Here is a 21,352-nt window from a genome sequence, read left to right as displayed (position 1 = left end):
AGGATGAGGGGAAATGAAAACCATTTAAAATAACAATTCACTTATCAGCCCCCTGTCTTCCCTAAAATATCTGGCTCCAGAATTTTTTCTTGTAGAAGCTCTCATCTTATAGAATGCAATGCAATGATCCCTTGTGGCTAAAACCCATTTCTTGTGGATTCTCAAGAAGTTGGTTTCCAAAATGATTCTCACCTTATCTGGGCAAGAAAGACACCTATAGAGATGGCCAGGGGATAAGTTCCTATAAATGACAGTTCTGTGAAGAATGAGTGTAAAACCAAGACGGGAGGGAGCAAAACGTCAACATGAAACATTTTCATGGAGAAAACTTCCCAAGACCAAGTACTATTCATACCAATCCTATCAAGTTATGGCTATTTATTCTCCTAGAAATCCTGAGAACTAAAACATACTAACCTCCACCTAAAAATGTGTCTGCACACAAGCATTCCTTTTAAAATAAAGATATCTAGAACTGGGAGAGTTACTACAATATCATGCACTGACATAAAAAACTGTTTGAGGTATATTCTTGGGAATTTCACACAAGTTAATCTTGACAAGGTGCCCTATTTTATAAACATAATTTTCATTTGCCCTGGCGCATTACAGCCACTCTATGTGTGACGCACAATAACAGCACCTTCTTGAAAGCTATATCCTAAGAAATGCATTTCCTCAAATAACTGTCTGCCAGCAGCCTCCCTGCATCCTGTTTTAAACCCATCTCCTATGCTGATCCCAGGCCAGTAACCCCGAGCGGGGCAGAGTTTCAGCTACATCGGGCATCACCAGTGCAGCGCAAGGGCTGGTGGGAAATCCCCAGAACACAGCCAAGGTAGGGAGAACCCTCCACACAGTGCAGCCCTTCTCCCCCTTGCAGTGGAGGGGGTGACCAGGATCCCAAGGGTGGAGGGAGGTGGGCCCGACGAGGGAGAGGAGATCCAGGTAGGCTATGGGCATGAAAGAAAAGGGAGGGGAAGCTTGAGGGCAGGGCTTGGGAGGCGGCTGGCCACGGAAATGAAAGAGCAGAGAGAAATAAATGGGGAAGTGGGGCGGAAGGATGGGTGTGGGGTTGGAAAGGAAAGGTGAAAGGGCACTGGGTGGAGGAGAGGTGAGAGAAAAGGTGGGGAAAGGGTCTCCATCACTGGAGTACCCAGCCTCCTCATCCCCTTGGTCAAACAGTAGGGCATGCCTTTCCCAAGGTTCCCACCTGGCCCTAGACCTCATCCCACTGGCTTTCAGAGGTAGGTCAAGGTTGGCAGTGTTTAGGGTAACAGGAAGCTCAGATCTGCTAAGCGAACTTCACCTGCTGGTGTTCTTCAATACAGAGGCTATTTCAATCAGGTGAACCTTATTATTATTATTATTATTATTTTTAAGATGGAGTCTCGCTCTTGTTGCACAGGCTGGAGTGCAGTGGTGCGATATCAGCTCACTGCAACCTCTGCCTCCCGGGTTCAAGCGATTCTCCTGCCTCAGCCTCCTGAGTGGCTGGGATTATAGGCGCCCACCGTCACACCTGGCTAATTTTTGTATTTTTAGTAGAGACGGAGTTTCAACACATTGGCCAGGCTGGTCTTGAACTCCTGACCTCAGGTGATCCGCCTGCCTCGGCCTCCCAAAGTGCTGGGATTACAGGCCTGAGCCACCGCGCCCGACCCCAGGTGAACATTATTACTCAACTCCCTTTCTCCACCCTTCCATCACACCCGCTATTTCATAAGCAGAGTATACCTGAGACACAGCACCACATCCCCACAACCACCCCTTTAGAAGTCTGGAAACAAGCAATGTACAAGAAAACTCACAGAAGAAATATATTTCCCATGAAGCACACGGTACAGCATGTAAAATGGACAGACCCATGGGCACTGTGGCCTTTCTGTACCAATCTGGGCACTGTACTCACAGCTACTCTACGTGTGTGCGTGTGAGTGACCCTACAACGGATTAGTATTCGGCCACAAAAATACGATGACATTTTGATATATGCTATAACACGGATGGACTTTGAAAACATTATGCTTAGGGAAATAAGCCAGACGCAGAAGGATAAATGTTATATGATTCCTCTTCTATGGGGTACCTAGAATAGGCAAATAAAGAGAAAAAAGAGAAGTCACCAGGGACTGAGTGTGGGGAGGGGAGTGTGGAAGGGCCAGTTATTGTATAATGAGCAGAGAGTTTTGGAGAAGGATAATGGAAAAATGTTTAGGTGTAAGAGGGTGATGGCTACACAACATTGTGAATGTTTTCATACCACTGAATTGTACACTTACAAATGTATTACGTAATGTATATCTTACCACAATAAAAAAAACAGAATATGCAACTAGACATGAAAGTTTTAGTAACGTGGTCATCTCTTTGACCCACTATAGAAATAATGACCCAAGGGTTAAGATTTTCTTAACTACCTACAACCAAGGTAGATAAAGAAGCCCCAAGATGAATAGGCCCAGCCCCACTACCAGGAGCTATGACATGATGCTGCTTCTTTAAAATGCCGCTTAGTGCATGCTTGGAAAAAAGGTCAACATCTCAGGCAGTAAACAGAGCGGACAAATGGAAATAAATGAAGGGAAGATGAGGATTCAGAGCAGTCGGCAATGATAAACGTCAAGAAGCCAAGAATTATTAAGTCAAGAGCAGAAATAGAAGACAGGAACAGGAGTCAGCAATGGGGAAAAAAATGACATCAACAGATACGAAAATGTAAAGATGTTTAAGGGAATGACCAATTTAAAAACCCCTTTGTCACATGGAACACTGAGTTTTATATTCCAACTCAAAAGAGTTTAGATTACAGAAGTAAAATCAAAGCTGTTCTTCAGGTGACCAAACGGCTTTCATTAAAATCAGCAGGCTGATATCGAGCCCATGCTCCATGCCAGTCCTTATCCCCTGCCCCCCTGGGTACCTTTCTCTGCCCCTACTGCCCAGGGGAAAAATTCCTGGAGGTACCCTATGAGTTCATGCTGTCCTCTTAGCCAAGGATGCCTTCCTCCTCTGGACTCCAGAAACCTCCTCTTTATCATGTGTGTGTCACTTGGCTCAGGTGTCACCTCTCTGAGCTCTGGAAGGCTGGTGCAGTCCTGCCTCCACCCAAGCCTGCCTCCCTCACACTCCGTAGAAGGGGTAGGCTTTGCTCTTCCCCCCTCTGGGCACTCCCGCAAGATGGCTGATGACCAGCTGATGCTCTGCACACACCTCCACCCCCTTACCTGTTATAACCTGCACAAAGCAAGCAGTAGTAAACCATCCTTGGATGAACAAATATACTCCAGAATAACAAGTATTTATTAAACAATAATTTAAATATATCAACAGTATTAAGTAAGCAAGAGACTGCATGAATCGGCTGGCCAAGGAAAAGCAGTCGATTGGGATCTACAGCAAGGCGTCTGAGAGAAGAAAGGTCAACAGGAGGCTGTGCAAGTGAACGCTCTCATCTGCTTTGTAAAATGCTGACAGAAGAGAACATCATCACAGATTGGCATCATGTCTGCAGAGGGGACAGGCACTGTGCTGAGTGCTTCACGTGGAGAATGATACTTCATCCTCTGGTGGAGGGTGAAAAACTAGTTTCTTTGACAGAGCATAAAATTGAGGCTTCAAACTTGGAAGTTTTGCTCAGGGTCACGGGGAGTAAGCAGGAGTTCCCACAAGCAGTCATGGCAGAGATGGCCTTGCCCAAGATCCAACCCTCATTCCTGGCTCTGGGATCTGTCCTGGGTCGTCCCTGGTAGATTACTCCTTTCCCCATACCCGTCCCCCCAACTATCCCCCCCACACATACACACTGCATAACGATTTGGGCATAGCCCTCGAGTCTCTGAGAAAGGCACAGCCCCCTGAAGTGTCCGCCCGCTGTTCTGTGGGACATGCCAACTCATACTCAATGGTTTCTTTCCCCATCCTCCCCACCCCCACAGTAAGACTCATGGCAAGTCTCAAGATCAAATGAAGTATGCTGCAGCAGTGATTTAAAACTGACAATAATAGTACCCCTGAACAGCACTGCTCATGAAAAATCAAAGCAATAAACAACCAAAAACAACAAACACCAAAACTTTAAAAAATTCAAATGCATTTAAAAGATACTGCATTTTGAACATATGTGGGCTTCCTTTCAAGGACAGGAGCACCACAAATTTCCTAAAAAACTTAAATGTTCAAGATTCAAATGCAAAACGAATCCTGACTTCATGATATTTTGTTCAAATGAAATAAGGTCTCTGCTGATGTTTTAGTATGAAGATTTGTTTTGATCCACATCCTTTACTAAGAATCCGAACTGAAAAAACTTATGGCGACACCAACCAAAAAGTTAATCATATAAATGGCTCCTTTTTTCTCTCTTTTTATGTTTTTTTTACTTATTCGTGTTTTCATCTGACTTTTTTAAAAAAAAAAACTTTTAATCTTGAAATAATTTTTAGACTTACAATAAGCTGCAGAAATAGCACAGAGTTGCATATAACTGCCACCCAGCTTCCACTTATGTTGACATCTTACACAAACATAGCAATTAGCAAAATATAAGAAAGTTAAGACCCGGCACAGCACAAGTAAGTGAACTACAGACTTACCCAATTTCACCGGTTTCTCCTTCCGCCCTTTCTCTCTCCCAGGAGCCCACATTCCTATAGTCAGCACATCCCCTTTGACCTGTGATGGTTCCCCGTTCTTCCCTTGTCACTCTTAATGCTTTGGAGGAGCAGGAGAGGTGTTTTGCAGAATGCCTCTCAGTTTGGGTTTGTCTAATTTTTCTCGTGATTAGACTCTTACGCATTTTTGGCAGGAACACCACAGGAGTGATGCTGAGTCCTTCTCAGATTATCACAGGGTGTCAACATGCCCTCATCGTGATGATGATGATGACCTTGACCACCTAGGTGGTATCTGCTGGGTTTCTTCCCCACATGTCACTACTTTTGTCCCTTTTGTAATTAACAAATGTCTTAGAGGAGACGCTTTGTGCCTATGCTAGTAATAGGTAATGATTCTTAACTGTTATGGATACAAGAATGAACATACGTCTCTCAGTGTATAATTTAAATAGTTTGCTTTACGGGTATTCTTTTCAGAAGAAAAACTCCCAATTAGAAATCTTTAAAAATGGCCATTTTAAAAAAAGAACTCCTGAATTCAATCATGGATGAAAAGTTAAACAACAGCAAGCGCAATGCTTAGTGTGTTCAGGGATTAGTGTGTGCACCGGCATCCAGGCAGATCACCAGCAAGACAGCAAACTCCGATCGGAAGGCTCAGTCCATGCGGCAACTTGCCAGTACTCCAAAAGGTATCCCCAATCAAGACCGGGTTTTGTGTAATTTCTATCCCGACTATAAACAAGAGTTCCCTTGTAGCATCTACAAGGGAACTGGAGCCTGGCGCCACCAAGAGCTGGAGGAGGCAGGAAGGATCCTCCTGTAGAGGCTCCAGACGCAAACAACCCTGCCCCCATCTTGACTTTGGACTTCTGGACTCCAGAACCGTGAGAGGATATACTTCTGGTGTTTTAAGCCAAGCCATTCAGTTTGTGGAAATTTGTTACAGAAGTTCTACAAAACTAATATAGTATAATGATAATTTTACTGGACCTGAGTTTAATCACAACACTGCTGAAAGGCATAAATATGGCACCACTGGTAAGGATAACCCATGGGTATTCTGTCCAGCCAAGTTAGCTCACTGAAATACACTTTCAAATTTTATTCCTCATGATGCCCTGGGGTATTCACAGCACAGTGTAAAATGTCAGGGCAGGGATTAGGATCACTTACCTCTGGTGCAAAATTGAAGGGGATGCCAGAAAATTCAACCATCAAAAGAAACAATAGTGTAATACATTATCTTTAAAAATCAAAATGAGGACGGGCGCAGTGGCTCACACCTGTAATCCCAGCACTTTGGGAGGTCGAGGCAGGTGGATCACCTGAAGTCAGGAGTTTGGGACCAGCCTGGCCAACATGGTAAAACCCAGTCTCTACTAAAAATACAAAAATTAGCCGGGCGTGGTGGTGTGTGCCTGTAATCCCAGCTACTCAGGAGACTGAGGCAGGAGAATGCTTGAACCTGGAAAGCGGTGGTTGCAGTGAGCCGAGATCGCATCACTGCACTCCAGCCTGGGCAACAGAGACTCTGTCTCAAAAAGAAAAAAAAAAAATCAAAATGAATGCAAAAAGTACATGACAAAATATCAAAATGTTAGAGAGAGAGACAGGATCAGTAATGTATGGAGCCATACTGGATCCTGAGGCAAAAGGAAACTTCAGAAATACTGATCCTGTGGTCTTTACTTAAAATTAATATTTTGTTCCTCATGGAATTTCTTGCATTCATTTTAATTTTTTAAATATCACATTAAAATATTATTCACTTAGCCAAAAAATGAATGGAAACAACCCAAACATCTACTGACAGATGAACACATAGATCAAATGTGGTGCAGCCGCCCCTGAGCATCCACAGGGGATGGGTCCAGGACCCCTGCAGATACCAAAATCCGAGTATCCTCCAGTCCCTTAGATAAAAGGGAGTAGCATCTGCATATAACCGCTCATCCTCCCTTACACTTTAAATCACCTCTGGATTATGTATCATACCCAATACAATGTCAATGTCATGTAAATATCTGTTATGCTCTATTTGTTTTTAAACTTGTATTTTTTTATTGTTGCATTATTATTTTTCCCAAATACTTTCAATCCACGGTTGGTTGAATTCATAGAAGCAGAACTCGTGGATATGAACAGCCGGCTGTGTACATATATAATACATACAGTACTGTGTAACAGAAAGGAATGTCTGGCACGTGCTACCACATGAATGAACCAGGAACACACGCAGAGTGAAAGAAGTCAGACACAGAAGGACAGACACTGTATGACTCTGCTTGTATGAGGTTCCTAGAGTAGACAAACGCATTCATCTACAGAAAGCAGAATGCACGGTGGCAGGGGTGGGGGTGGGGTGGGAAGTGACTGCCACTGGGTGGGTGTTTCTTCCCCAGGTGATGAAAATGTTCTAAACTGGGCTGTGGTGACGGGTGCACGCCTCTGTGGATATAGTAAAAACCTCTGAACTGTGCACTGCAAATGCGTGAATTGTATGGCTGTGCACAGCATCTCAATAAAGCTATTAAAATACACACAGATAATTTATCTTGATGTCTGTGGTGTTTGTCACCCCCTCAAATTTTTCTCCCAAAGCAAGCACCTCAGTCTCTTCACTCTGGCCCTGGTAAACATGGCACATCTTCCTTATAGTTTATCAATGGAAACTGATGTCCTTATCATTATATAAAAACAAACACAGATGTGCAAATAATGTGAACTCGGCACACACACTCATGTAAGACAAAATGAAACTTCCAAGCCCTTCTTTGCCTCTAATGGGTCACAGCAGGGGCCCCATCCCTACCTCCAAGGGATGCCGCCTCCCTCCCCACCACTGGGGGTGTTTTCATGGAAGTCACTGGCCTCCTCTGCTCTCCCTGGACTGCAGGAAAAGCTCCAAGCGCAAGCCGCGGACAGCAGACAGCTCTCACTCCCGACACAGATGGGTTTCCGCCCTGCCATCCGACCAGAAGGAGGGCAACCTGCTCAGGGATGAGGCCTCCAGCGCTCGGTGCCTCCAGGGCTCCTTCGGTACCTTCCAGGGCTGCACGCGGGTAGCCCTCTAAGCTGCCCTGGCTCACTCCAAGGGCGGAAATAACCCAGCCGGGCTCCAGGCATCCTTCCCTCCAAAAATACCTACAATTATTATACTGACAAGGCAAATCTAATTTTAGCCAGCCAGGCTCTGCAGTCAGCAATCGTTCCTGCACACAAAAAAGTAACGCTCCTCTCCATCTTTTATTTATTTATTTTTTTGAGATAGAATCTTGCTCTGTCACCCAGGCTGGAGTGCAACTGTGTGATCATAGCTCACTGCAGCCTTGACCTCCTGGGCTCAAACGATCCTCCTGCCTTAGCCTCTCAAGTAGCTGGGACTAAAGGCATGCAGTACCATGCCTGGCTAATTTTAATTTTTTGTAAAAGATGGGGTCTCACTATGTTGCCCAGGCTGGTCTTGAATTCCTGGCCTCAAGCCATCCTCCCACCTGAGCCTCCCATAGCCCTGGAACTACAGGTGTGACCCAAAACATCCAGCCTCTTAACCATTTTTAAGTACACAGTTCAACAGTGTTAAATTCACAATGCTGTGCAACCAATCTCCAGAACTCTCTTTATCTTGCAAAACTCCAACTCTATGCCCATTCAACAATTCCCCATTTCACCTCCCCCAGCCCCTGGCAACTGCCATTCTACTTTCTGTCTCTACGAATTTGTGTACTTTAGATACCTCATGAAAGTGGGATTATACAGTATTTCTCTTCTGTGACTGGCTTATTTCACTTAACATAATGTCCACAAGTTTCATACAAAATTGCGGCATGTGATAGGATTTCCTTCCTTTTCAAGGCCGAATACTATTCCATTGTGTGGACAGGCCACATTTTGTTTATCCAGTCATCTGCTGAGGGACATGTGGGCTGTTTCCACCTCTTGGTTAATATAAATAACGCTGCTCTAAACCTGAGTGTGTAAGTGTCTCTTTGAGATTCTGATTTCAATTCTTTTGGATGTATACCCAAAAGTGGATTTGCTGGATCATCTGATAATTCTAGTTTTAAGAAACTGCTGAACTATAGTCTATAGTGTTTACCTGTTTATGATCCTTCCAATAGTGCATAAGAGTTCCAATTTCTCCACATCCCTGCCAACACTTACTATTTTTTGGGTTGGTTTTTTTGTTTTTTTGATGGTACCCACATTAATGTGTAGTTTACTCATTTTTAAGATGACGAAATTGAGGATTAGAAAGGTTAAGTACTGCTACGGGTTCAACTGTGTTCCCCTAAAATTCACATGTTAAAGTCCTAGCGCCCAGTACCTCAGAATGTGACCTGACTTGGACATAAGGTCGCCGTACATGTAATTAGTGAAGATGATGTCATTAAGGTGGGGAATTTGGATACAGAACTGCACATAGGCAGAAGGTCATGTGAACATGAAGACAGCCTTCTACAAGCCAAGAAGAGAGGCCTGGAACAGGTGCCAACCCCACAACACCACAGTTTCAGACCTGTGGCCTCTGGAGCTGCAGAGCATTTGTTTCTATACGGTAAGCCACCAGTCTGTGGCACTCTGTTACAGGAGCCTAGGGAACGAACCCAGTCCCTTGCCCAGGGTCACAGTCATTAAGTGACCAGTCCAAAGGGCCACAAAACCATCCTCCTCCGACTGCACTTTACTGTCCCCAAATTACCCTCTCAAACTTTAATGTGCTTCTGAGCTGCCTAGGCAGCTTACTAAAATGCAAATTCTCATTCAGCAGACCTAGAGACGGCCTGTGATCTGCATTTCTGACAAGCTGTGGCGGGGGGGGGAGGGGAGGGGGGTGGCATGGAGCTCTTCTAGAGCTGGAAGAACACAACTCTAGATCCATGTATTAAAAGTTGCATCCAGGTGCGGATTCTGGCCTGGGAACTGTCTGTCTCTGGTGATGAATGAATGAGGTAAGAAGTGCTTAGAAAACTTAGGGCAAGTTGTGCTTGCGTTGGTGTCTGAGACATGATTGCTCTTCTAGTTATACATTTTAATTGCTTTTCACAAAGGCACCCACCTCAGACTGGAAATTTTTAAATGGTCCCTTTGACATGGATGCTTTGACAAGCCATTCCCTAGAGAATCTTCTCTCCTTGCAGTTGGATTTTTTTAAAAATTGAAGTAACATTCACGACATAAAATTAACCATTTTCAAGTGTACAATTTAGTGGCATTTGGGGGCATTCACAATGTTATACAATCACCGCCACCTCTGTATCTAATTCCAAAACATTTTCCTCTCCTCCAAAGGAGATCTAATACCCACTAAACAGACACTTCCTGTCCCCTCCTCCCCCAAGGTTTTCTGAGTATTTTCCACAAATGGAACCTTATACAGTCTTTTGTGGCTGGTTTCTTTCAATGTAGCATATCCTCAATTCTCACAATGTAGCATATATGAATACTTCATTCCTTTTAATGGCTGAATATCTATACTTTTACCAAGTATACACATTCTCACAGATTTTACAAAAATGGGTGTTTCCTATTGCTTCCAATAATCCCATTGTAAATGCGAAGCTTTCTCTTGGTTTTTGAGAAGCTGCTACTACCCCATCTCTAAAATCCACCTCTCCCCAACAGGGAAGTCCAATTTTTGGTATTTCCTTCCAGAAATATTCTACCTAGACCAGCCCATATAGCTCCTCCCACTTTGACATAGAACTTGTATTAAACTCTACTCACAATCAGGTATCTGTCTTGCTTTTTACATGCAAGAGCGTCATGTGGAGTTCATTCCATATACAGAATTATGCTTTTTTTCCTATTGTTTGATAGATTCTATGCCTTTATTATAATCTAACACGTTCACTGTGGGTGGTTGCTTTCATCCTTCTGCTTTTACAATGCCTTTGGTGAATATCATGTGAGTACTTCTTTGCATATATTTACACTATGTCCATGAGCTAAATCCCAAGAAGTGACAATTCTAGGTCAGATATCTTTTGCCAATCTGCTCCCCAAAGAGGCTGGACCTCTTGCAATGCCTGCCAGCAACAACACCCGCTTTTATTTGAGCTCCTGCCAGCGGAACACAGTCACACCTCTGACCTCTACTAATGGGAAAGGTGAAATGGTACCTTACACTTTTCATCTGCATTCCCCATGTCATGAGGGAGATTGAGCTTCATTCCATACATTTTAGAGCTATTCATTATTTCCCTTTAAGAAAACTGTTCATGTCTTTTTTCATTTTTCTCATGGCCTGCTGCTGGTCATCCTCCTTAGTACTTTATAGGAGTTCTTCATGTATCACAGGAATCATTCCTTTGCATTATGTGTTGCTAGTACCTAGTATTATTTCTTGGTTTGACATTTACAATCAACTTTGAGCCTCCAGAAAAAAAGAGGCGAACTATAATTACTAAATGCTTAGCATTTATATACTGTGTTAATGCTGTATTCATTTTTATCTTCACAACAATCTAAGAGGTAATTCACGGCTACCTTCACTTTATAGATGATAACACTTGAGGTTCACATATAATTTTAATCCAAGACACTGGCTCCTATAAGCATTCTGCTTGGCCTAAAAAACTTGCATTTCTTTTTATATTTATCAATGACATTTTCCTTTATATGCCATTGACCTTCTTTTTCAATAAATCATAATCTTAAGAAAACCCTACAACACAAAGATAATCTGTATTCCCCTAACTCATACATTCCCATGAGCACGAAAGAAACAGGATTAAGTACACAACCTGATCCCTGGACTCTGTGAATATGACCTTATATAGTAAAAGACTGAATGTGACCTCATTTGGGAAAAAAGGGTCACTGCAGATGTAATTAAATTAAGAATCCTGAGATGAGGTATTCTGGGTTATTGCATGGGCTCTAAACACAGTGTCCTCCTAACAGACAGAGATTGGCGTTATGCAGCCACAGGCCAAGGGGCACCTGCAGGCACCAGAACCTGGAGGACAGACACAGAAGGGGCTCTCCCTTGGAGCCTCCAAAAGGAAGCCACCCTGCTGCCGCCTGACCACCCTGCTGACCTCCTCAACAATGACACAATACATCTCTGCTATTTTAAGCCACCTAGTCTGTGGTCTTTTCGTTAAGGCAAACAGGAAACAATTACAGAATAATAGTATCATAAAAAAATCCTTCTATATTAGGGATACAACTTGAAATGTTTATAGGTAAAAATCACATGATGTCTGAGATCTGCTTTAAATTACTCTAAAGAGAAAACAGTGAGGGGACGATGAGACAAGCTCGTGACACGCTAACAGTGGCTGGAGATGAGTGAAGAATACACAGGAATATACCAAGATATTCTGTATACTTCTGAATATGTTTGACAATTTCCATATTAACAAGCTAAGAGTATATCTCAGGGACTGGCAGGCAAGCATCTGAACTATATATGTGGCATCTGTCCCAATCTTCACACAATGCAATTCGCTTTAACATCTAATTTTATTCACTACCTTCTTGAAAACAGTAAGGAAAACATTGGAACCCCATTCATTAAAGCTGCCACTGCATAGTGGCTTATGCGAGCAACCATGCAATTGAGTTTCTTGAAATAAATCTTAATTCTTAATCTCATATCTTGAAACAAATCTTAATTCTTAATCTCATCTCCCTATATACTTGATCAGACAAATTATATCTCATGCTGAAAGAACATACATGCATTTGGATAAAAGTAAAAATAAGGGATTCTTTCTTATTAGATGTACTATACCAGGAGCACGTGAATAGAACTGTAAGTACTAGAATCAACATGTTTAAAATACTACTGTTTTCTATGGAATCAGATTCCCAAAGGGAAGCAAATTGCTTGCAAAGAAGTGTGCTGCTTATAAAGATCTAATTTATGTAACATGGGCTAAGTCCAAGGATATGACCGTAATATGGGAGATCACACTTCAAGCTACTGTGAAAACACTTTAAACGTTAACTTGCAGCTCTGAAGCAGTAATTAAGGGTGGGACTGTACTGGCTGGGGACCTTTGCAATACTGAAACTGTGTAACAGAAGCCATGCTCTGCTACTAAGCACAGTACTCTGCAAAATGGTTATCCTGCTTCTTGTAAAGACGTTGAAGGTTCTTGATACATTCATTTAGCAAAGGCAGGGTCTAATTGTCCTAATGCTTCCTCAGGGAACACTGTGTTCCAGCTTCACCTAAACTGCCCTGCAAAGAAATGGAATAAAAGGGGCAGCCTGAGTCAGCATTCTTCAGAGAAACTTCGGTGGAATCTAAAGGAAAACCGAAATAAGAAACAGGACTCAGCTGGGCTGGGCAGCAGGCCTCCAGCTCTCATTTGCTCTATGTACAGGAGGCTTCTGTGATCCGAGCCTCATGTTTCCAACGGCGTTTCAGAATTTGAATGCCTGCATATCTGTCCAGTACAGGATACAGGATCTTGGCCCTCTCCAAGATGATGATCTTTGGCAGATAAACCTTCTCGCAGCACTAAGCAAATGAAAGGTACCCTAGAATGGGTTTCTTATGTTGGCATTTGTGAGCCATCACTCTTGGCTGTTGGGGCTGTACTGTGCATGGTGGGATGTTAGCAGCATCCCAGGGCTCCACCCACTAGCCAACAGCATCCCCCACACAGCTACTGAGACAACCCAAAATGTCTCCAGACATTGTCAATGTCCCCTGGCAGTTGCGGAGGGGTGCCCAATCCCCCCACTGGTGAGCATCAGAGCCCTAGAAAGCTCCTTGCTGGAGAGCCATGCCTGAACTGTGGGCTATTCTGCTACACAGGGGGCACGGTGTGAACTCTTCCCCCTACCATTCAAGCTGATGGACAACAAATGGTAAAACAAACCATCCACAAAGAGGCCATGAGAAAAGAATGTATAGATATGGAAGCATGCAAGTTTAATGAACTCAGATGGCCTTTCAGGAAGGCAAAATACAATTGTTTATGAACAGTGACAGCATCGGGCTGCACGTGAAAGGGTTCTGTGAGGTTCTCACTTAGCTATGTGCAATTCCTAGGGACACATGATGGATGCTGCAACCATTTCTCTACAGCCCTTAGTTTTTTAATAACAATGACAATCATAATGTAAACCAACAATAACATTCGAAAGCCCCCCAAGCACCTGAATGGACTTCCTCCTCTGGGCCAAGGCCAACTAAATTTATCCTGAAAGACGGACCAGGCCATGACTGCCGGGAAGTGGGGGTCAAGCATGCCTCATTAAGCCCCTCCAGCACGAACATCATCACAGACCTCAAGTCTGATAAGAAACATTTACAATCTGTTCCCTCTGAAGCCTGCTACCTGGAGGCTACATCTGCAGGATAAAACACTGGTCACCACAACCTCTTAAGGTAGCCCAGACATTCCTTTCTATTGGTAATGACTCTTTCAACCAATGGCCTATCAAAAAAATTTTAAATCTACCTATAACCTGAAAGCACCCCCCCTTCCCCCTGCACCCTTGCTTCAAGTTGTCCCACCTTTCTGGACTGAACCAATGTCTACCTTAAATGTGTCTGATCAATGCCTCATGTCTCCCTCAAATGTGTATGTGAAAGGAAAATAAATCTTGGGGCTCCCAAATCACTAAGTTAAAGGGAAAATCCAGCTGGGAACTGCTCAGAGCAAACCTGCCTCCCCTTCTATTCAACGACAGGCCTCTGCTCACTGATATAGATGCATATCTGATGGCCTCCTTTGGAGACGCTAATCAGAAACTCGTAAGAATACAACTATTTGTCCCTTGTCTACCTATGACCTGGGAGCCCCCTCCCCACTTTGAGTTGTCCCGCCTTTCCAGACCAAACCAATGTTCATCCTACATATACTGATTGATGTTTCATGTCTCCCTAAAATGTATAAAACCAAGCTGTGCTTGGACCACCTTGGGCACATCGTCAGGACCTCCTGAGGTTGTGTCATGGGTGCGCATCCTTAACTTTGGCAAAATAAACTTCCTAAATTGATTGAGACCCGTCTCAGATTTTGGGGGTTCACATATAAAACCAAGCTGTGTTCTCCCTAAAATGTATAAAACCAAGTTGTGCCCCCACCACCTTGGGCACATGTACTCAGGATCTCCTGAGGGCTGTGTCACAGGCCATGGCCACTCAGAGTTGGCTCAGAATAAATCTCTTCAAATATTTTACAGAGTTTGACTCTTTACGTCGACAGTAACAGCAACTCCAATAATGATAGTGGTTTAGGGATACCCATGATTTTAACTCCTGTCAAAGCCAGGAGCAGCATGGCTTATGAACCCACTGAAAGATTCCCTTAGTTGCCTCTTCCTTTGTTCCTTTCTTGGACATTCTATCACGGTGGTTGAAAGAACATTCAAAATCCAGCACAGGGGAGAAATGGCTCTGTGCTCCATGCTAAAATGAAAAGGTAGTGTGTCAAGGGGGTCACAAGTTGTAAAATAGCATTCACCCTCAAACCACCCAATAAGCAGTGCTGCTTCCCACAGGACCCGATGGAAACAAAGGATGTTCACTACAGTAGACACAAGGCACTTCTGACATTGACTCGGATGAACCTGCAGTTCCCAAACGCAGAGGCTCTGTGGTGTAAAGGAAAATGACGACCACATCTTAGCAATTCACTTCCCGGTCACTTCCTCTCCCAGCCTGTCAAGAAGGAAACAGGGCATGCTTTTGAATCCTTTCTTGGCTCATGTAAGAGATCTGGAGAGCCAATCTAATTACTTTGGTTCCAATTTCCAACTCTATCAGTAAGGCACTGATACAAGAAATGGGAAGACAAGTCTCCAGAAGTGGTAAAAATTGAAATCATAGAAACTGTGCACCTACTGTTGGGTGACCTAAAGATCCTGTCATACAAAAGTTAAGATCATCATTTGTGATGACACTTTTGAGAGGGTTTCCCAATGCACTGATGGTGAATACATCTGTTGGGTATTTCAGCTGTTACAGTTTCCTGCATCCCACTGTTGTGGAGCTAGACTCTTACAACAAGATGCTTCAACTCTGCTGAAAAGGAATTTAGCTGCCATCTCCCCGCACCCCGCTTCTGTGGTTTTACTTTCCATCTCTGGCACACAGGGTACTTCACACATTCACAGATATTTAGGGGGAAGAAAAAACAATACATTGCCTGGAACCATAAGCAACAGAGTACCTACTAGGTCTCTGCTTCAAGAAATTTTACACTAAGATAGATCCAAAGGCCCCTGGGTCTCCAGGTTTGCCAAATAGCTTATTTTGGGTATGTGAATAATTTCAATTTAACTCCTTGAATAACTGTCTTATTAAGACGCTGACACATCTGTCCTACCTCTGACTTTTGCAAATAAGATAAAAGTGATTTTCATTGAGTAGAGGCATCATGGTTTCCTTTTATCATTGTTGTTATCATCATCAATATTATCTGTTTGGCAAGCTGTGCGGGCTTCCTTAGGATGATAAATGCTGCCGCAATTTGCAGTATCTTTAAAAGAAACAGCCAATTCAATTCCACGATGCCAGGAGCCGTCTCTCTGCCAAAGCCACCCCTGCATCTGCCACAGGCAACCCATTTGTACTGAGCACAGGGGGACGCTTGTCTTATTGCAGCGTCTGGTTCTACTTAGCGCCGTCGACAGAGCTCTATTGCTGTCCCGTCTCCTCGTGCTCCTTTCTGCAGGCTCCAGCTTGGCGCAGTTGGATTTCCAATTTCTATGCCCAAGTGTGGTGTGCATTACCAATTGCAACACTGACAGCACGTGCTTCTCAATACCAGTGCCATCTCTAACGGCAGCACTTTTTGTGTGTGAGGGTTACTGTTAGCATTTTTAAGAATTTGGGAGGCTGAGGTGGGGGGACTGCTTGAGTCCAGGAGGTGGAGGCTGCAGTCAGCTTTGATTGCGCCACTGCACTCCAGCGTGGGAGACAGAGTGAGGCCTTATCTCTAAGAAGGAAAAAAAAAGTTAAGAATTTCATCTCAGCACTTAACAGGGCTGGTTTGCAAAGACCAACTTTCTAAACGCTTTCTAACAATCATGGGTTAAATAAGCAAGCGCAAAAGTGATGAGAACACTTCTGTGCAGCGTGGTCATCCCCACTTCCTTATCGATCTCCCACGAGTGGAACCCACAGCGATGCTGGTGGAAAGGGCACGCATGGTCTAGGGTCAGCTTTCCCTAAATTCAATTTCAGAGAAAACTGCAGAGGCAAAGAGGAGTTTTCTGTTTCTCTCCTTTAACAATAAAGCTATTAGACCAAAGCACGAAAGACTGCTTCTGTGTCACCGTCTTGACTCACGACAAACATCAACTTCATATTCTTACACTTAATACAAACTGGAATAGCTGAAGAGAAAAGAGAACACTGCCCGAGAAGCTCCATGGACTCAGACACTTGGCTAACTGTCCTGGCCTTGGCATTACCAGGCTGCTGCCTGCTCAAGCCTTATCTCTTCACTTAGAAAACTGGGTCTGTGCTGTCCACATCGTATCTTAGGACTGCTGGTCTTCGGAATAGAAAGCAGGGCTCCTCCATCGTGGCGCATATGGGGCTAGATGATTCCTTGTTATGAGGCCGTCCTGTGCACTGTGGGATGTTGAGCAGTGTCCCTGGCCTCTACTCACCAGATGCCAGAAGCACCCACTGTCACCACCAAAAATGTCTCCAGACATTGTGAGATGGCCCCTGGAGGGTGGGGAGGATACAAAGTCACCCGCTTTGAGAAGCACTATTCTAAAGGAATTCAGTACCAGCGGTTTTGAGCAGCCACCAAAATCAGGCCTAGGTGGGGCCGGCTCTTCCAGAAGCTCACTGTGCCTCCTACCAGCATCGTGAAACTCCCTGCAGTTATCCATCAAGCCAGACTGTTCATCTGTCTGCTCTGGCCACATCTTAAACACGTGAAAATTAAATAACATTCACAATTCAGTTTCTCAGTCACAATGGCCACATCTTTTAAGTGCCCAAGAGCCGAATGTGGGGCCATGTTCACAGGGCAGTCCTATTGGGGATGCCGCTCTAGGTCACCCAAGACATTCCGTACATCATGCATGCTTCTCTGAGACATCAGGAAAAGACTAATTGATGGGCAGATTCAAATGAACACTGGGCACATTTCATCATTGAGGCCTGGGAAAATAAGGATACCTCTTTTTTGGTTTTTGAGTTTCTCTGGGTTTGTTTTTGTTTGTTTGTTTTTTGAGGCAGAGTCTCGCTCTGTCATCCAGGATGGAGTGCAATGGTGCAATTACGGCTTACTGCAACCTTGAACTCCCAGGCTCAAGCAACCCTCCCACCTCAGCCTCCCAAGTAGCTAAGACTACAGGTGCACTCCACCACTCCCGGCTAATTTTTAAAATTTTATGTAGAAATGGGGCCTCACCATGTTGCCCAGGCTGGTCTCAAACTCCTGGGCTCAAGCGATCCTCCCACCTTGGACTCCCAAAGTGCTGGGATTACAGGTGTGACCCACCACGTCCGATGTTTTTTTTTTTTTTTTTTTTTAATGTAGTGCTTTTAAAAGATCTAAAGAGCTAGTTTTTCTACAAACTGACCACTCCATCCTGAATAAGCTTATAATTTTAAGAACTGTAATTTTTTTAAACAGGAAGTCAAGAAAGAAGGTGTTCACCGCAACTTTACATGCAATTAATGAAAAAAAAAGTATGAACCTGGAAAATATAGAAGTTGGCTTTAAATTATGGGAAAGGACAGATGGTTGACATGAACTCCAATTATTCATCTAAGCAAGATATCTGGCCCCATCTCAATGATATGCGTTAGCGCATCACTCAGGTCAATCTCTCCCGATGGGTGTGGTCTGGGTTTGTGCTCCCAGAGTTACCCAGGTTCATCCATAAACCCGTTCCTAGATGTTATGCTGCCTGCAATAGGCCTGGCATCTGCCCAAATGCAGAGACACACTGACGTGGCCTGATGCCTACACTGTGCAGCGCGTACTCAAGTGCACTTGTTCATCCCAACCCACTTCGCTAACAGTCAATCACCCTCTAACCCCAACCCATCACCTCCTAAACATGACAGCGCTCAGGCATGCTACACTTTGGGAGGAGGGGGGGGAATATCAAAACATACTTAAAAGCATAATTTACTCAAGATCTTTACAAAATAGACACTTTCCTTTTAAAAACCTTCTTATAATACTTTGATAGCCAACTGTTCACTGGGTCATCTTGACAGATTAGTATTAATCTCACTGATATTAATGTTTTTGAAAGATTCTCTCCCCTCCTCCATTTAAAGGTAAAATATGTCCACACTGACAACAGACTTTTCTCAGATTGGTTAACAAAAAGGTCCCAAGCTCATAAAATTCATTTTCTAAAAGAATGATAGCTTAAGAGTTTCTGCACAGCATTATAATATTTATGTAAGTATAATTTACACTTCATCATTCCTCACCCAACTTAATATAGTACACAGATAATCTGTTTTTAACTCCACCAAACAACATTTCTCTGATGGAAGTTAGCCAATCGTGTAGTAAGTGGCTTTCAAAAAAAATGACTTTGCATACATCCACACAAAAACGTGTGCTTAAATGTTCACAACAACACTATTCACAATCGCCAAACAGTGGAGGCAGCCCAAACGCCCGCCAACTGATGAACAGATAGTATAATCTGGCTATGAAAAGGAACGAAGCACCGACACAGGGGACAACATGAGTGAACCCTGAAAACACAATGCTCAGTGAAATGAGAACACAAAAGTCCCTATGTTGTGAGTATTTACCTGAAATGTCAGAATAGGGAAATGCATAGGGGCAGAAAGTAAATTGCTGGTTGCACCGGTTGGGACAGGGAGGGAAGAATGGGAAGTGACTGCTGATGGGTGATATGGTTTGGCTCTGAATCCCCACCCAAATCTCATGTCGAACTGTAATCCCCACACGTCAGGGGAGGGACCTGGTGGAGGTGATTGGGTCATGGGGGCGGGTTTCCCCCATGCTGTTCTTGTGATGGCGAGTGAGTTCTCACGAGATCTAATGGTTTAGAAGTATGGCGCTTCCCCTCTCACTCTCTCTCCTGCCTTGCTGTGGTAAGATGTGTCTTGCCTCCTCTTCGCCTTCTGCCATGACTGCAAGTTTCCTGAGGCCTCCCCAGCCATGCAGAACTGGGAGTCAATTCAACCTCTTTTCTTTATAAATTACCCAGTCTCAGGTAGTTCCTTATAGCAGCGTGAAAACAGACTAATACAGTGGGCATGGGGTACTGAACATGTTCTAAACTCAGATAGTGATGATTGCACAACTCTGCGAATACACAAAAAAACACCCTCGGAGGGAGTCTGAAGGTATGTAAATTACATCTCAGTAAAGCTGAAAAACTGCTTTGGCTAAAGTGGCTATCCCTCCATGGTGCTGGGTACACAGTGCAAATGCAGGGATGCTCAATGACTTCTTTATGACAGCTGGCACCATCAAGCACAGGCCAGTTCCACCCTGGGGAAGCAGAGGCAGGAGTGAGGGGAATGGTGTCCCAGTGCTTTCCCAGTATCCACAGAAGCTCGTTTCAGAAGGTCGGTGATTGGTAACATTTTCAAGGCTGTTTCTGCACATCCTACACAGAACAGAACACTTCCTTCTTGTTAGTGAATCTGGGGCATATGGGGGCATAAAAAGTCTCCCCAGCAAAGGTTCGGGAAGGTAAACAAACCAACACACAGACCTTCCTGTGGCCAGGCAACAAGTACTTTTTTTTTTTTTTTTTTTTTTTTTCATTTGAGACAGGGTCTCACTCTGTCACCCAGGCTCAAGTGCAGTGGTATGATCATGGCTCACTTGTAGCCTCGAACTCTTAGGCTCAAGCAATCCTCCTGCCTCAGCCTCCTGAGTAGCTGGGACTACAGGCACACACTACCACACCAAGCCAGTTTGGTTTTGTTTTTGGTTTTGTTTTGGTGGAGACAGGATGTTGCCCAGGCTGGTCTCGGACTCCTGAGCTTGGACTACTGAGCTCCTGCTAGGACTACAGATGTGAGCCACTGCACCCAGCCACAGCAAGCAAATTTTGTGGTGCTCTGACCTCCCAGGCTGAACTCACCAGAGGTCCAGGCACTTTCCAGCGAGTCCAAAGTGCATCACTTTAGCCTCCATTTTGAAAATCCCCACACAGCCACTCTACCCCACTACCTGCTGTAAGCGCTGCATCCTTTCCCATGAAGTAGTGATGCCGGCATTGAATATACTGGGCTGCATTTAATAAGATGCCCAGCAGGGTGGAGTGCTGTCTCCCCTGGCCTACCCTGTTCCGCCAGCTGACTGACCCAGGAGCTGGGGCTATCCTCCACCTCCAGAGATTAAACAACCACAAATGTGCTTTTGCCACTGGGACCCCTAAAGCATGCTTGGGACACAGCGTGCCCCGGCCCATGCCCAGCGTAGGCTGCTCAGACACATCCCACTGGACTCTCACCCGTGAGGAGGGCTCTCAGCACTGATGACTTCCTCAAAGGGAGCCCAGCTCCACTCTGCGGCCCCAAAGCACTAGGACCAAACCACAGGTGGCACAGGGCAGGAAATGCATCCCTGGCACGGTGAGGTATTGTGGGGCAAATGAGGTCACGCCAGCCCCTGCTAGCCACCGTCCAGAATTTATTTACAGTTCAACAACTTGCCACAGCTGCAGAGTTCAGAGGTTTCAAGCACCATAAATCCATCTGTTCCCTGCTTATCTGAATTTCATACAAGATTAATATTTTACCTACATTTGCTGACAAAGACAAATAGCTACAGCGTGCAAAGTGA

General features: G+C 44.3%; 1 protein-coding gene across 4 annotated transcripts in view, besides 4 other annotated features; it reads right to left on the bottom strand.

Annotated features, from left to right (window-relative positions):
- TBL1X (transducin beta like 1 X-linked) overlaps nt 1-21,352 on the bottom strand; it is a 256,446-nt gene that overhangs the window by 124,958 nt on the left and 110,136 nt on the right. The gene's annotated exons all lie outside the window — the stretch shown is intronic.
- Nucleotides 363-862: an enhancer, noted in NCBI's record as "H3K4me1 hESC enhancer chrX:9561961-9562460 (GRCh37/hg19 assembly coordinates)". NCBI's record gives its function as "activates a minimal SCP1, AML or CMV promoter by ChIP-STARR-seq in naive H9 embryonic stem cells {active_cell/tissue: H9 hESC(naive)}" and the evidence as "EXISTENCE:reporter gene assay evidence [ECO:0000049][PMID:30033119]".
- Nucleotides 863-1,364: an enhancer, noted in NCBI's record as "H3K4me1 hESC enhancer chrX:9561459-9561960 (GRCh37/hg19 assembly coordinates)". NCBI's record gives its function as "activates a minimal SCP1, AML or CMV promoter by ChIP-STARR-seq in naive H9 embryonic stem cells {active_cell/tissue: H9 hESC(naive)}" and the evidence as "EXISTENCE:reporter gene assay evidence [ECO:0000049][PMID:30033119]".
- Nucleotides 7,067-7,586: an enhancer, noted in NCBI's record as "OCT4-NANOG-H3K4me1 hESC enhancer chrX:9555237-9555756 (GRCh37/hg19 assembly coordinates)". NCBI's record gives its function as "activates a minimal SCP1, AML or CMV promoter by ChIP-STARR-seq in naive and primed H9 embryonic stem cells {active_cell/tissue: H9 hESC(naive and primed)}" and the evidence as "EXISTENCE:reporter gene assay evidence [ECO:0000049][PMID:30033119]".
- Nucleotides 7,587-8,107: an enhancer, noted in NCBI's record as "OCT4-NANOG-H3K4me1 hESC enhancer chrX:9554716-9555236 (GRCh37/hg19 assembly coordinates)". NCBI's record gives its function as "activates a minimal SCP1, AML or CMV promoter by ChIP-STARR-seq in naive and primed H9 embryonic stem cells {active_cell/tissue: H9 hESC(naive and primed)}" and the evidence as "EXISTENCE:reporter gene assay evidence [ECO:0000049][PMID:30033119]".

This window comes from Homo sapiens, chromosome X (genome assembly GCF_000001405.40).
Source record: "Homo sapiens chromosome X, GRCh38.p14 Primary Assembly".
NCBI lineage: Eukaryota > Metazoa > Chordata > Mammalia > Primates > Hominidae > Homo > Homo sapiens.
Note: the sequence above shows the minus strand (reverse complement) of the source record. Positions and strands in the feature narration are given on the sequence as shown.